This window comes from Homo sapiens, chromosome 9 (assembly GCF_000001405.40).
Source record: "Homo sapiens chromosome 9, GRCh38.p14 Primary Assembly".
NCBI classification, from domain to species: Eukaryota; Metazoa; Chordata; class Mammalia; order Primates; family Hominidae; genus Homo; species Homo sapiens.
The window spans coordinates 74841048-74856703 of record NC_000009.12 but is presented as its reverse complement, the minus strand read 5'-3'; the positions used below and the strand labels follow the sequence as shown (position 1 = coordinate 74856703).

Below are 15656 nucleotides of genomic sequence, written 5' to 3'. Positions count from 1 at the left end.
AAATCTGATACACTTGATTATAACATCTTTTTCCTTCTCATTTTCAATTTACTGTTGAAGGAAAGCTTCTGAGAAAAGGCATTCCCAAAAGGCTGGGACAGGAAGAAATAAAAGTCCTGAATATTAGTTTCTGAATAACTTAGAGCGGCCCTTATTTTAGGAACATTACCTTTTCTTCCATTATTTTAACTAGACTTCCCTGTTAATACTTCTTCACACACACACACACACACACAGACACACACACACACACACACATATTTTGAGACAGGATCTTGCTGTGTCCCCCACGTTGCAGTACAGTGGCATGATCTTGGCTTACTGAAGCCTCGACCTCCTGGACTCAAACAACCCTCCCATCTTAGCCTCCCAAGTAGCTGGGACCACAGGCACATATCAGCACACAGGGCTAATTTTTTGAATTTTTATAAGAGTCAAGGTCTCATTATGTTGCCCAGGCTAGTCTTGGACTCCTGAACTCAAGCAATCCTCTCACCTCAGCCTCACAAAGTGCTGGGATTACAGGCATAAGCCACTGTGCCTGGCCCAAAAATATAACTGATGACAACAGTGCTAACCCCTAAATCTATAAGGTTCTTCTGAATAATAAAAAAGAAAGATTAATAAAGGATAATTTGTAATTATACCAAATGTCCCTTATTTGATAGTGCTTTATGGTTTTAAAGTGGTTTACATATATCTATTTTCTTGATTCTCAAGAAATCTGTGTTATCTTCATAGTTTAATAATAATAGTAGCTACCATTATTGTACACACTGTCTTTACCAGGTACCATAAGACACATTACATATTATTATCTCTGATAATTATTTTAATAACCTTATGAAGCAGATATTATTTTCAGATATAAAAACTGGGGCTTAGAGTAATTGTTAAATCAATGAGATTTAAATTGAGGTATTTTGGTTCTAAACTGAATGTTGTATTAATTAGATCACAGTTGCTGCAGTAATTATATGTGGTAAATGCCATAATGGAATATTTGGAACATGATATATGAATTTCAGCAAACCTTGATTTCTAGATCATGGAAAATAATAGATATTTACTGTACAAGCATTAAATGTATTTTCAGATACACCAACAAACTAACAGAGGTTTTATTTCTTTAATTTAGATGTACTCCAGTATGCCAAGTCTGCCAGAATTTAATCAGGTAAGACTTAGATAAGCAAGATTCCTTTTAGCTTTTAGGCACCCTATTTAAAATTCACTGGGACAGTTTCCTCATATCTTGAATGTACTCAGTAAATGGTGCATGCCATTTACCTTTCCAAGGGAAGTTTTAAAAAGATGTTTTTGATGGAGAGTGAGTATTCGAACGTAATAGACTACTTGAATTACTGAGACATGTAAATTGGCTAAGGGCCTTCGACAAGAATTTCTACCAAGGGAAACACTTGTAAAGCATTACATTTTAGTTTTATGATCACATTTGGATAATGAAGATGCTGCATGCGCATACGGGACTGTAATTGATGTATGAATTGCAGGTGCCTTGTATGCATACTAAGCTTATGGGCAAAAAGCTGTTTAGTGCAATACAAATTTTAACAGTGATTTGCATTTTAAACTATGTGACCGTTTTTACCTTTCTCTTTTGTAAGTAGAAGGAAATGAAATTTTCTTAATTCTGATCATAGCCTGAAGTTTATATAATGGATTGAACCAAAGTTAAATTTATTCTTGGAAAAAAACATTTGGGACTAGGCACAGTCACTCACACCTGTTATCCCAGGATTCTGGGAGGCCAAGGTGGATGGACTGCTTGAGCTCTGATTTGAGGCCAGTTTGGACAACATGGTAAAACCCTGTCTCGACGTACAAAAGCAAAAACAAAACCCAAAAAATTGTAGCGGGACTTGTTGGTGTGTGCCTGTATACTCAGCTACTTGGAAAGCTGAGGTGAGAGGATTGCTTGAACTTGGGAGGTCAAGGCTTCAGTGAGCTGTGATTACGCCACTGCACTCCCACCTGGGTGGCAGAGTGAGACCCTGTCTCAAATAAAAAATAAAATAAAATAAAAAATTGGAACCCTCAGTTTAGCAAATCATGGGGAGAGGAAACCAGCATCCACAGATATGGAACGAGAAGAAGGAGGAGGTTGCTGGAGGAAGAATTTCTACTTGGCTGACCTCTCACTTTTTCCTCAATTTTTTTCTTTCCTTTTAGTAATTATTTAAAATTTTGCTCTTAGCTTGGTGCAAACGTAATTGCGGTGTTTGCTACTGAAAGTAATGGTGAAGACCACAATTAATTTTGCATAAACCTAATAAAATGCAAAGCAAAATAAGAATATAATAAAAAGAAAAGACCTCATATATTCTACCTAGTTTCTACTATATTCTTTAGAAACTCTCCTTCTCAATGTCCTCCAAAATCTCAACCCCACAACCTTCAGAGACAACTAACGTGAACATATTGGAAAAGCATCTACTTTTATACCTCTCAGAAATTAAAAATGGTTAAAAACTAGTCATTTTTGCACATAGATGAGACTAGTTTTATTTTTTTGATAGGGAGAGCCAAATGTCCTAATACGAGTTACTGAGCAGTCTCTCCTAGTCTCACTCATTTCTGATGCTGTCTGTGTTATATACCACATTTCCATCCATCTATGGCTTTGTTTCTGAGCTTTCTTTTCAGTATTTTGATCTACTTCTATGCTTGTCAAATGCCACTCTGTTTCATTATTATAGTTTTGTAATATATGTCTTGATATCTGATAGGGTAAGTTTCCTATACTTTATTTATCTTTTAAAAATTGTTTTTACTTTTCAAAACACTTTTATGCATTTATTTTATTTTATTTTATTTTTTTAGTATTTATTGATCATTCTTGGGTGTTTCTCGGAGAGGGGGATTTGGCAGGGTCATAGGACAATAGTGGAGGGAAGCTCAGCAGATAAACATGTGAACAAGGGTCTCTGGTTTTCCTAGGCAGAGGACCCTGCGGCCTTCCGCAGTGTTTGTGTCCCTGGGTACTTGAGATTAGGGAGTGGCGATGACTCTTAACGAGCATGCTGCCTTCAAGCATCTGTTTAAAAAAGCACATCTTGCACCGCCCTTAATCCATTTAACCCTGAGTGGACACAGCACATGTTTCAGAGAGCACAGGGTTGGGGGTAAGGTTATAGATTAACAGCATCCCAAGGCAGAAGAATTTTTCTTAGTACAGAACAAAATGGAGTCTCCTATGTCTACTTATTTCCGCACAGACACGGTAACAATCTGATTTCTCTTCCTTTTCCCCACATTTCCCCCTTTTTCTATTTGACAAAACCGCCATCGTCATCATGGCCCGCCCTCAATGAGCTGTTGGGTACACCTCCCAGACGGGGTGGCAGCCGGGCAGAGGCGCCCCCCAACCTCCCGGATGGGGCGGCTGCCGGGCGGAGACGCTCCTCACTTCCCTGACGGGGCGGCTGCCGGGCGGAGGGGCTCCTCACTTCCCCGATGGGGCGGCTGCCGGGCGGAGGGGCTTCTCACTTCTCAGACGGGGCGGCCGGGCAGAGACGCTGCTCACCTCCCAGATGGGGTGGCGGTCGAGCAGAGACACTCCTCAGTTCCCAGACGGGGTCGCGGCCGGGCAGAGGCGCTCCTCACATCCCAGACGGGGCGGCGGGGCAGAGGCGCTCCCCACATCTCAGACGACGGGGGGCCGGGCAGAGACGCTCCTCACTTCCCAGACTGGGCGGCCAGGCAGAGAGGCTCCTCACATCCCAGACGATGGGCGGCCAAGCAGAGATGCTCCTCACTTCCCAGACGGGGTGGCTGCTGGGCAGAGGCTGCAATCTCGGCACTTTGGGAGGCCAAAGCAGGTGGCTGGGAGGTGGAGGTTGTAGCGAGCCGAGATCACACCACTGCACTCCAGCCTGGGCAACATTGAGCACTGAGTGAGCGAGACTCCGTCTGCAATCCCGGCACCTCGGGAGGCCGAGGCGGGCAGATCACTCGCGGTCAGGAGCTGGAGACAAGTCCGGCCAACACTGCGAAACCCCGTCTCCACCAAAAAATACAAAAACCAGTCAGGCGTGGCGGCGCGCGCCTGCAATCCCAGGCACTCGGCAGGCTGAGGCAGGAGAATCAGGCAGGGAGGTTGCAGTGAGCCGAGATGGTGGCGGCACAGTCCGCCTTGGCTAGGCATCAGAGGGAGACCGTGGAGAGAGGGGGAGAGGGAGACCATGGAGACGGAGACGGAGAGGGAGAGGGAGAGGGAGAGGGAGAGGGAGGAGGGGGAGCGGGAGAGGGAGCGGGAGAGGGAGCGGGAGCGGGACACTTTTATGCATTTATACAATTTTTTTTTTTTATTGAAAGAAAATTTTAGCTAAGTGTGGTGGGCACATGCTTGTAGTCCTAGCTACTCAGGAGATTGAGGCTGGGGGATAGCTTGAGCCAAGGAGTTCACATTCAGCCTGGGCAACGCAGCAAGATCCTGTCTCAAAAAGAAAAAGAAAAAGTAAACATTTTCTTTAAAATAGTATGTTTTAAAAAGTAGTTCCGCTACATTGCAATACTATCATTAAAAAAAAAAATTCTAATTTTTAAAAGCAAGGTCTTGCTCTTTCTCCCAGGCTGAAGTGCGGTGGTACAGTCATAGCTCATTGCAACCTCAAACTCTTGGGTTCAAGTGATCCCCACTCTTCAGCCTCCTGAGTAGCTACCCCCCTCCTGGCATGTACCACTGTGTCTGGCTGATTTTTTTTGTTTTTTATTTTTTATAGAGATGGGTTCTTGCTATGTTGCCCAGGCTGTTCTAGAACTCCTGGCCTTGAGTGATCCTCCTGCCTCGGCCTCCCAAAGTGCTGGGAGCCACCGCACCTGGACTATATTGCAATACTTAAAAATAATCCTAAATCTCCTTGTCAATAAGTGACTGTAATATATATATTATATATATATGTATTATATATATATATTTTTTTTTTTTTTTTGAGACAAAGTCTAGCTCTGTCACCCAAGCTGGAGCGCAGTGGCGCAATCTTGGCTCACCACAACCTCCACCTCCCAGGTTCAAGCGATTCTCGTGCCTCAGCCTCCCGAGTAGCTGGGATTACAGGCGCCCACCACCACGCCTGGCTAATTTGTTGTATTTTTAGCAGAGATGGGGTTTCACCATGTTGGTCAGTGTGATTTTGAACTCCCGACCTTAAATGTTCCGCCGTCCTCAGCCTCCCAAAGTGCTGGGATTACAGGCGTGAACCACTGTGCCCAGCTGATTTAATATAAATTTTAGAATCACCTTGTCATGTTCCCTGAAAAATATTTTGAGATTTTGATTTTTTTTTCTTTTTAAATTTATTTTATTCTTTGTTTCTAACATGGCTGTGAAATGCTCTGAGTGATGGGTATTTTACTGAATTTATAAAACAATTTGAGAGGGAATTGACATTTTTTTTAACCCCCCTCCTGGAATTGACATTTATATAAAGTGAGCTTTTAGTACTTGTTAGTGATATGTTCTTTGAGACTTCAAAAGTTGTAATTAAAGAGACAAACATGAATATATATTTTTTAATTTTGGAGGTCTGTTTCTTCTATGGGACCTTGCTACAATTTAATGAACTAGAAAAAAAAAGAATAAAATGTCAACTCAAATCAAATAGATAATCAGAATAGAAATATACTTAAGCTGAACGTTGGTTTGCACTAAAGAACTGCCTTATAAAAGCATAATGAGTTATCTCTCCAGATGAGGTTACCTCAATTTATGTTTTGTGTAGAAAAAGCCAGGCAGATGAATCATTATTTGTCTTGTGTTTGAATAGATGCTGCTTCATTTTGAAGGGTGACCCTTGTTCCAAAAGATGATCAGATGACACCATTCTAACTAGTAGATCCTGATTATGTATATTCGGTACATTTGGGATTACTGTGCCTCCCTTTACATTAAGAACCTTTCCATATGGAACCCCAATATTCTTACTTTGCCTTTTTTTTGTTTGTTTTTTTGTTTTTTTTTGAGACGAAGTTTTGCTCTTGTTACCCAGGGTGAAGTGCAATGGTGTGATCTCGGCTCACAGTAACCTCTGCCTTCTAGGTTCAAGCAATTCTCCTTCCTCAGCCTCCCGAGAAGCTGGGATTACAGGCACTTGCCACCACACCTGGATAATTTTTGTATTTTTAGTGGAGACAGGGTTTCACCATGTTGGCCAGGCTGGTCTTGAACTCCCGACCTCATGTGATCCACCCACCTCAGCCTCCCAAAGTGGTGGGAATACAGGCGTGAGCCACCGCGCCCGGCCTTACGTTGGTTTTTACATACACAGAAGTTTTCATCACCTGCGCTTGTTCTGGTTATCTTTTTTTTTGAGACAGAGTCTCCCTCTGTCGCCCAGGCTGGAGCGCAATGGCCCAATCTCGCCTCACTATAACTTCCACTTCCCGGGTTCAAGCGATTCTCGTGCTTCAGCCTCCTGAGTAACTGAGATTACAGGCACGTGCCACCACGCTCAGCTGATTTTTGTATTTTTAGTAGAGATGGGGTTTTACCATGTTGGCCAGGCTGGTCTTGAATGCCTGACCTCAAGTGATCCGCCCGCCTTGGCCTCCCAAAGTGCTGGCATTACAGGCGTGAGCCACTGCGCCCAGCCCTGTTCTAGTTCTCTGAAGAGATTGTAAGTTGTAGACACTTCTGTTTCCCCTGTAACTTCTCACCATGTGCTACTTCATATGCTGCTCAATACAGCAGATGCACAATAAGTATCCTTAGCCCACTGATCACCTCTTTCAGAGCAGGGTCCTGCAACACTGAGCATTGCTACAGGTTCTCAGTTACACAATGAAAGGAAATGGAAGGCATTAGAGACCACCTTGTCCAACCAATCCTTACATTACTGCAGTTGAAGAAATAGAGGCTTTGGGAGAGTAGAGATTTGCATGACGTTGGCCATCTCCTGGTCCAGTGCTTTTGCTCCAGGACACATCGCTTCCTAGATGCTTCCTGTTTATGGCCTAGGCTGCCTGCACTTCAGCTCTTGTTTTTGGTTCCCCTGCTTGTCAGGTACAATCCACTGTTCTATAGCCAGGATTTTAGTCACCTAGAGCTACCATAACAAAATACCACAAACTGGGTGGCTTAAACAACAGAAATGAACTTTTCACAGTTCTGGAGGTCAGAAATCCAAGACCAAGTTGTTTGCAGGGTTGGTTTCTCTTGTGATCTCTCCTTGGCTTGCAGATGGCCACCTTCTTATTGTGTCTTCAGATGGTTTTTCTCTGTGTGCACACATCCTGGGGATCTCTCCTTCTTCTAAGGACATCATTTCTATCAAATTAATCCTTCATCCTTATGACTTAATTTAACTTAACTTTTTTTTTTTTTTTTTTTTGAGATGAAGTTTCACTCTTATTTCCCAGGCTGGAGTGCAATGGTGCAATCTCAGTTCACTGCAACCTCCGCCTCCTGGGTTCAAGCGATTCTCCTGTGTTAGCCTCCCGAGTAGCTGGGATTACAGGCACCTGCCACCACACCTGGCTAATTTTTTGTATTTTTAGTAGAGATGAGGTTTCGCCATGTTGGCCAGGTTGGTCTCGAACTCCTGACCTCAGGTGATCTGCCCACCTCGGCCTCCCGAAGTGCTGGGATGAAAGGCGTGAGACACCGTGCCCTGCTGAATTTAACTAAACTTTAAGGAGGTAATTAATGCAGTCACATTAGGGGTCAGAGCTTCAGCATATGAATTTTGTCAGAAAACAATTCAGTCCATAACAGCTAGCCACATTTCTCCACCATGTACTCAAATGTATTTGTCTCTATTGTCTCTTTGGAACATTTTGGAAATTGAGCTCTGGCCCTGTCTAGATTTCTTTACGTTTTTTTCTTCTCACTGTATGTATTTGTCATCAGATAAGCAGATATATAGAAGTTAAATATAACATTTACTAATGTATACTGCACCTTACGTAGTCCATGGAATTAATTGTGCATCAGAATATAGACACAGAAATTTAGAATGAAAAGCTGTCAAGAAGAATATTGACTCTTTCAGGCGGGGCATTGCAGGCATTACTATCTAGCTGGAGGCAGGGCAGTTGAGGAAAACTGTGGACCAGGATGCAATTTTTAATTAAAGAAGGTTTAGAAATTTGGAAGGAGTAGTCCCACCTTTTCTGCCATTTTACCTTCCATTGTTTCAGTTTCTCATGGGCCAAAAAGATTAAATAGAAAATCCCAGAAAAAAAGCAATTTATGGGTTTAAAATTGCGTGCCATTCAGAGTGGCATGATAAAATCTCTTGCCATTTGCTTTGTCCAACCTAGGACACGAATCATTCCTTTGTCCAGCCTAGCCATGCTACAGACGCTCCCCACCCGTTAGTGGCTTAGTAGCTGTCAGGGTTATCTGATTGACTGTCTTGGTATTGCAGTACTTGAATCCAAGTAACCCTTCATAATGGCTCCAAAGTGCAAGAGTAGTGATGCAGGCAATTTGGACATGCCAAAGAGCCATAAAGTGCTTTCTTTAAGTGAAAAGGTGAAAGTTCTCAGCTTAATAAGCTAAGAATAAAAGTTAGCTGAGGTTGCTAAGATCTGTGGTACAAATCCATCTTCTATCCATGAAATTGCGAAGAAAGAAAAAGAAATTCATGCCAGTTTTACTGCTGTACCTTCAGTTGCAAAATTATGGCCACAGGGCCATAATTTTGATAAATGCTTAGTTAAAATGAAACAGTCGTTGCATTTGTGGGTGGAAGACATGAACAGAAACCTGTTCTGATTGACAGCAATTAGGTTTGGTACTATCTGCGGTTTTGGGCACCCGCTGGAGGTCTTGGAACATATGCCCTGAAGGTAAGGGAGAACTACTGCTACATATATATTTTTTCTTGAGACGGGCTTCATAACTTCATTATTTATCTATTTTTCAGAATTCCTGAGTGTAGGCTTCATAACTTTAATCAGAGACACAAAGTTACTTATGGGTCTTAAAATCAAGAATGACAATGGTTTAGAGTATACTTTGTCTTTGACTATATATGACTATATATATATGACTTTGACTATATATGACTATATATATGACTATATATATGACTGTATATGACTATACATATGACTATATATATGACTATATATATATTAAAGCCAGTCAAATTTAGCAGTGGGGGGTTGTATACCAACTTTAGTGACACTAATGTTAGTAAGTTCTGATAACCTACTACCATCAGAGCAGCCTGCCTTTGACAATATTGAATGCAAATTAACATCTTAAAATAATGATTAAAAATCCCAGCACTTTGGGAGACTGAGGGAGAAGGATTGTTGGAGCCCAGGAGTTCAAGATCAGCTTGGGCAACATGGCAAAACCCCAAATTAGCCGGACGTGATAGTCGTTGCCTGTAATTCCAGCTGCATGGGAGGCTGAGGTGGGAGAATTGATTGAGCACGGGAAGTTGAGGCTGCAGTGAGCCATGGTCACACCACTGCACTCCAGCCTGGGTGACAGAGTAAGACCTTATCTCAAACTAAACAGTGAAAATTTTAAAAAGTGAGAATGTTATAATAATTTAAAAAAATTTTTTTACAAAGGAAATGTGTCCTTGCTAGTACTTGACATTGTCAGCCATTTTCAGTTAAAACTTGATGGTGTGTGAATAGCAGCACCTAATTGTGAAAAGACCATTGTTGGCTTGCAGAACACCTCGTCTGTGTACTCAAGGTAGCAAAGGAATAATGTCATGGTGGATTAGTGCATGGAGCCATGTGTGGTTTGTAGACTCATAGGACTGATGACTAGGCTTTTTGGAACGTGTAAACAAACCCAAGTCTGAAGATTTTAATAGATGAAGATAATTTCTTAAAAGTGTGCTTTTTAGAAAAATATTGTAAAATAGCCGGGAGCAGTGGCTCACGACTGTAATCCCAGCACGTTGGAAGGCCGAAGTGGGTGGATCACCTGAGGTCAGCAGTTCAAGGCCAGCCTGGGCAACATGGTGAAACCCTGTCTCTACTAAAAATACAAACAAGTTATCCAGGCGTGGTGACACACCCCTGTAATCCCAGCTACTTGGGAGGCTGAGGCAGGAGAATTGCTTGAATCCAGGAGGTGGAGGTGGCAGTGAGCAGAGATCATGTCACACTGCATTCCAGCCTGGGCAACAGAGAGAGAGACTCTGTTTCACAAAAAAAAGAAAAAAAATTCTAAAATATCGATAAGAAAAATGTTTTCAGTTTTTAAAGTTCCTGCTATACCTATCTAATTCTCATATAAAATGTGTCACTGAAGTTCATACCAGAAAACAATATAATTGTTTTAAATGAGAATTAGGTATAGCAAGAACTTTAAAATAATATGATAGGGCCGTTCTTGCAAAGGAGGTACATAAATGTAGAAATATGAATTTCCCTTTAAGAAGAGAATGAGCTTTAATTATAGGGAAAAAAAAGAAGCAAACAATTTGCGCCTTAAATGTCTGTTCATGTACTGGGCCATAAATTGACTTGTTTGTATTGACAAGAAATCTAAAGAAAACAGAAATTTAATATCTAGGCAGCTAAGCAGAATCAACTTACCTGATCAACTTATCTGTTGATTAATCAAGGTTAGGTGAAAGTCACAGTAGGAACTGTACTCAATTATTTATAATAAATGACAAATTTTCTCTGCTTCTTGATATTCATTTTGAAGAGATAAGAACTCTCTTGATGTCAAATTGATTTCCTAGGGAGGATATTTTTGTTTATTTTTTACGTAAATTTTTTTTAAATCATCCATCCCAAAATGTCAGAGAGGCTCTTATTACTCATCTAAATTATAACTCTTTCCCTCTACATTTGTATTTTTGTTAGTTTTATTCAACATGTTGTAGATAATGCATAAAATGATAAATTATTCTTACTTTTCGTTTTGTTTTGAGACAGAGTTTTGCTTTGTTGCCCAGGCTGGAGTGCAGTGATGTAATTTCGGCTCACTGCAGCCTCTGCCTCCCAGGCTCAAGTGATTTTCCTGCCTCCCTAGTAGCTGAGATTACAGACTTGCTCCACCACACAGGGCTAATTTTTTATATTTTTTTGTAGAGACAGGGTTTTGCTATGTTGCCCAGGCTGGTCATGAACTCTTGGCCTCAAGCGATTCTCCCACCTCACCCTCCCAATGTGCTGGAATTACGGGCGTGAGCCACTACCCTTGGCCTGTTTATCTTTTTGTGATTGGCTTCTTTTAATTAGCATAATGTCTTCAATGTTTTTCCATGTTATAGCATATGTCAGAATTTTCTTCCTTTTTAAGGCTGAATCATATACCATGGTATTTATATACCACATTTTGTTTGTCCACTTCTCCACGATGGACATTTGGGTTGCTTCCACTTTGTGGATATTCAGAATAATGCTGCTATGAACATGAGTATGCAAGAGATTTTTAGTACAGGCATACCTCATGTATGTTACTTTATTGTGCTTTACTGATATTGCATTTTTTATAATGTGGAGGTTTGTGGGAACCTTGCATTAAGCAAGTCTGTCAGTGCCATTTTTCCAGTGGCACATGTTCATTTCTTGTCTCTGCATCACATTTTAATAATTCTCGCAATATTTCAAACTTTTTTATTTTATCATTATTGTATCTGTTATGACAATCTTTAATCGGCGATCTTTGATGTCACTATTGTAATTGTTTTGGAGTGTCATGAACTGCACCCATATAAGATGGGGCAAACCAATTAGATAAATGTTATATATGTTCTGACTATTCCACTGACCGATCCTGTCTCTCTCCCTCTACCTTGAGATGCCACAGTGTTGAAATTAGGCCAATTAATAATCCTATAATGGCCACTTAGTGAAACAAAATGAAATAAAGAGTCTTGCATATCTCAGTTTAAATCAAAAGCTAGAAATAATTAAGCTTAGTGAGGAAGGCATGTTGAAAGCTGAGATAGGTTGAAAGCTAGGCCTCTTGTGCCAAACAGTTAGCCAAGTTGTGAATGCAAAGGAAAGGTGCTTGATGGAAATTATAAGTGCTACTCCAGTGAACACACAAATGATAAAAAAAGAAACAACTTTATTGCTGATATGAAGAAAGTTTGAGTGGTCTGGATGGAAGATCAAACCAGCCACAGCATTCCCCTAAATGAAAGACTAATCCAGAATAAGGTCCTAACTCTTTTCAATTCTATGAAGTCTGAGAGAGGTGAGAAAGCTTCAAAAGAAAAGTTTGAACCTAGCAGATGTTGGTTCATGAGGTTTAAAGAAAGAAGCAGTCTCTGTAATATAAAAGTTCAGGGTGAAGCAATAAATGCTAACAGAGGAGCTGCAGCAAGTTATTTAGAAGATCTAGCTAAGATTATTGATGAGGTACCTACACTAAACAAAGATTTTCAATGTAGACCAACAGCCTTATGTTGGAAGAAGATGCCATCTGAGACTTTCATAGCTAGAGAGAAGTCAATGTCTGGCTTCAAAACTTCAAAGGACAGGCTGACTCTCTTGTTAGGAGACAATTGGAGGTTTGTGGGAACCTTGGATCGAGCAAGTCTATCAGTATCTGTGCTGGTGACTTTGTGTTAAAGCCAGCCCTCATTTACCATGCCAAAATTTTAGGTCCCTTAATAATTATGCTAAATGTACTCCACTTGTGCTCTATAAATAGAACAACAAAGCCTGAATCTCAGTACATTTGTCTTTAGTATGGTTTACTGAATATTTTAAGCCCACTGTTGAGATCTACTGCTTTAAAAAAGAAAGATTCCTTTAAACATATTTCTGCTCATTGACCACACACCTGGTCACCCAAGAGCTCTTATGGAAATATTACAAGGAGATGAATGTTGTTTTCATGCCTGCTAACACAACATCCATTCTGCAGCCCCAGCCCATGGATCAAGAAATAACTTTAAATTTCAACTCTTTTTTTTTTTTTTTTTTTGAGATGGAGTCTTGCTTTGTCGCCCAGGCTGAAGTGCAGTGGCACTATCTCGGCTCACTGCAAGCTCCACCTCCTGGGTTCATGCCATTTTCCCGTCTCAGCCTCCCAAGTAGCTGGGATTACAGGCGCCTGCCACCATGCCCGGCTAATTTTTTTTTTTTGTATTTTTTAGTAGAGACGGGGTTTCACCACGTTAGCCAGGATGGTCTCGATCTCCTGACCTCATGATCCACCCGCCTCGGCCTCCCAAAGTGCTGGGATTACAGGCGTGAGCCACCGCACCTGGCCTTCAACTCTTATTATTTAAGGAATACATTTGGTATGACTTTAGCTGCTGTAGGTAGTGATTCCTCTGATGGATCTGGACAAAGTAAACTGAAAACTTTCTGGAAAGGATTCACCATTCTAGATGCCATTAAGAACATTCGTGATTCATGGGAGGAGGTCAAAATGCAACATTAATGAGAGTTTTAGAGATGCTGATCCCAACTTTCATGGATGACTTTGAGGGGTTCAAGACTTCAGTGGAGGAAGTCACTGTAGAAGGTGCTGGAAATAGCAAGACATCTACGATTAAAACTGGAGCTTGAAGGGTGTGACTGAATCTCATTAAAAAACTTGATTAGATGAGGAGGTGCTTCTTATGGATGAATAAAGAAAATGGTTCATTGAAATGGAATCTACTGGTGAAGATAGACCATTGTAGAAACGACAACAAAGGATTTAGAATATGACATAAACCTAGTTGATAAAACAGTGGCAGAGTTTGAGAAGATTGACTCCAGTTTTGAAAGTAGTTCTACTGTGGGTAAAATGCTATCAAATAGCATCACATGCTACAGAGAAATCTTTTGTGAAAGGAAGAGTTAATCAATGTGGCCAACTTCATCATTGTCTTATTTTAAGACATAGCCCCAGCCACCTTAACCTTCAGCAACCACCATTCTGATCAGTTAGCAACCATCAACATTGAGAGAAGACCCTTCACCAGCACATAGATTACAACTCACTGAAGGCTCAGATGGTTGGTAGCGTTTTTTAGCAATAAATTATTTTAATTAAGTTATGTACGTTGTTTTTTAGACGTAATGCTATTGAACACTTAATACACTTAATAGTGTCAGCATAACTACTATATGCATTAGGAAACCAAACTATTTGTGTGACTAGCTTTATTGCCATATTCACTTTATTGTAGTGGACTGGAACCAAACTTTCAATGTCTCCAAGGTATTCCTGCCTTTAAAGAAAAAATATTCTCCAAATTATCCTAATGTGCAGCCAAGAGAGAGAACCACTAATAGTGTTTCTAAACTTAGAAGACAGTCCTATGTTAGAAATTTAATATAAACCTTAATGTGAAGTTTTAAGAAATAGTATATGGCATCTATACATTACTTTAGAAAAAGGTAGACATATTGCATCTATTTTCTATTTTGAAGTTGAGTTTTTTTTTGGTCTTGAATTTAAGGTGTTACTGTGGCCGACTGATTGGAGACCATGCTGGGATAGATTATTCCTGGACCATCTCAGCTGCCAAGGGTAAAGAAAGTGAACAATGGTCTGTTGAAAAGCACACAACGAAAAGCCCAACAGATACTTTTGGCACGATTAATTTCCAAGATGGAGAGCACACCCATCATGCCAAGGTTTGCTAATAACCCAAATTGTTTTGCTGGTTTCTTTCTTTTTTTTTTTTTTTCGAGACGGGGTTTTGCTCTTGTTGCCCAGGCTGGAGTGCAATGGCACGATCTCGGCGCACTGCAACCTCTGCCTCCCGGGTTCAAGTGATTCTCCTGCCTCAACCTCCTGAGTAGCTGGGACTACAGGCATGGGCCACCACTCCTGGCTAATTTTGTATTTTTAGTAGAGACGGGGTTTCTACTAACAGGTTTCTGCCTGTTTGAAGTATTTGTGCCTTCACATTTTTCAATAGCTGCACCGTTCCTGATGTTCAGAAATTTTAATATTTTAATTTTGGAATAAAGGAATTATGTATCAAGAAGTTCAGGCTGGGCACGTTGGCTCACACCTGTAACCCCAGAACTCTGGGAGGCCAAGGCAGGTGGATCACCTGAGGTCAGGAGTTTGAGACCAGCCTGGCCAACATGGCGAAAACCCATCTCTACTAAAAAATACAAAATTTAGCTGGTATGGTGGCACAGGCCTGTAATCCCAGCTACTTGGGAGGCTGAGGCTGGAGAATCACTTGAACCTGGGAGGCAGAGGTTGCAGTGAGCCAAGATTGCACCACTGCACTCCAGCCTGGGCGACAGCATAAGACTTCATCTCAAAAAGAAAAAAAAAAAGAAGTTCAAAGATGAATTGGAAATTGTTTTAAATTACTGTCATGTTCTGGAGGATCATATGTTAATTCCTATTTGCATGTATGGAGATCTTTGCCTGTGGTTTTGTTTCATAATTCATGGTTTCTTATTGTCCTTACTTCTTCCTGTAAATCTGGCTTATTCTTGCTGTTGGTTCGTGTAAGTTTGAGGGAGGCAAATTCATCTCAATATCCTTTGAGTGATCTGCATTTGCTGGAAAAAGCAAGCCAGCTGTGCAATACAATATTAGGTAAAATAAAAAATGATTCTGGGGCTACCTGCTGGCTTTGATTTCCCTCATCTTTTCTTTTGCTTACATTGACGATTAAAGAGATGACTGTTTTTGTGAAAAGTATTTGTTTCAGAACAAAAGTGTTTTCAGAGGGATAATGGTTAGAAGGTAAAATTTACAATTTTAATTAGAAGGTAAAATTTACAAT

General features: G+C 40.8%; 1 protein-coding gene and 1 pseudogene across 3 annotated transcripts in view; one reads left to right on the top strand and one right to left on the bottom strand.

Annotated features, from left to right (window-relative positions):
- The window catches only part of TRPM6 (transient receptor potential cation channel subfamily M member 6), a 165427-nt gene that overhangs the window by 31218 nt on the left and 118553 nt on the right, over positions 1–15656 (top strand). For all 3 annotated transcript variants that reach the window (NM_017662.5, NM_001177310.2, NM_001177311.2), the window contains exons 3-4: positions 1139–1177; positions 14361–14538. In NM_017662.5, the coding sequence (NP_060132.3) occupies positions 1139–1177; positions 14361–14538 (217 nt within the window). The remainder of the gene's footprint in view (positions 1–1138; positions 1178–14360; positions 14539–15656) is intronic.
- RNY4P1 (RNY4 pseudogene 1) lies at positions 9105–9198 on the bottom strand (annotated as a pseudogene).